At 35.1% G+C, this 790-nt stretch overlaps 1 pseudogene; it reads left to right on the top strand.

Annotated features, from left to right (window-relative positions):
- Positions 1–321: 321 nt before the first annotated feature.
- Positions 322–567, top strand: COXFA4P4 (COXFA4 pseudogene 4; annotated as a pseudogene).
- The last annotated feature ends 223 nt before the right edge of the window (positions 568–790 follow it).

Raw genomic sequence — 790 nt, 5'->3', positions numbered from 1 at the left:
AATATACACACTTTCCTAAACACTAAAGGAAAATAAATAGGAAGGAAAAGAGACCACATAGTATGTGGCAAATGTAACATACAACAATATGATAATACTGAAAGCAAACATATCAATAATATTCATAAAAGTAACAGCTTATCTTGATTACTAAAATAAATTTTCATATTGACCAACAAAGCTAACCCTACACTATGCTGTATTCAAGAGACACAATTGAAATAAGCAAATTCAAAAAGTTAAAATTTAGATACTATTTAGCGCAGGGCCTGGTGGCTAGGCTTTTTCTTTCCTTTTGAGTCAGAGGCCTCTGCCACAAACATGCTCCGCTAGATTCTCAGTCAGGCCAAGAAGCATCTGAGCTTGATCCCCCTCTTTGTATTTATTGGAGCTGGAGGTACTGGAGCAGCACAATTTGTCTTGCATCTGGCATCATTCAATCCAGATGTTAGCTGGGACAGAAAGAACCCAGAGCCCTGGAACAAATGGGGTCCCAATGATCAATACAAATTTTACTCAATGAATGTAGATTACAGCAAACTGAAGAAAGAAGGTCCAGATATTTAAATGAAATATTTCACTATAAAGCTGCTTTAGAATGAAAGTCTTCCAGAAGCCATCTGCACAATTTTCTACGTAACCAGGAAATAGTTCTCCTCTAGATGTATGAAATCATGTTGATGAATGTGTTGGAGATTACACTGATTAATACATAACTGAAACTTGAAACAAATAAAAGGTTAAAATTAAAAGGATGGGTGAATATACAACAGGTAAATGCAAATAAAAA

This window comes from Homo sapiens, chromosome 8 (genome assembly GCF_000001405.40).
Source record: "Homo sapiens chromosome 8, GRCh38.p14 Primary Assembly".
Classification (NCBI taxonomy): domain Eukaryota; kingdom Metazoa; phylum Chordata; class Mammalia; order Primates; family Hominidae; genus Homo; species Homo sapiens.
Note: the sequence above shows the minus strand (reverse complement) of the source record. Positions and strands in the feature narration are given on the sequence as shown.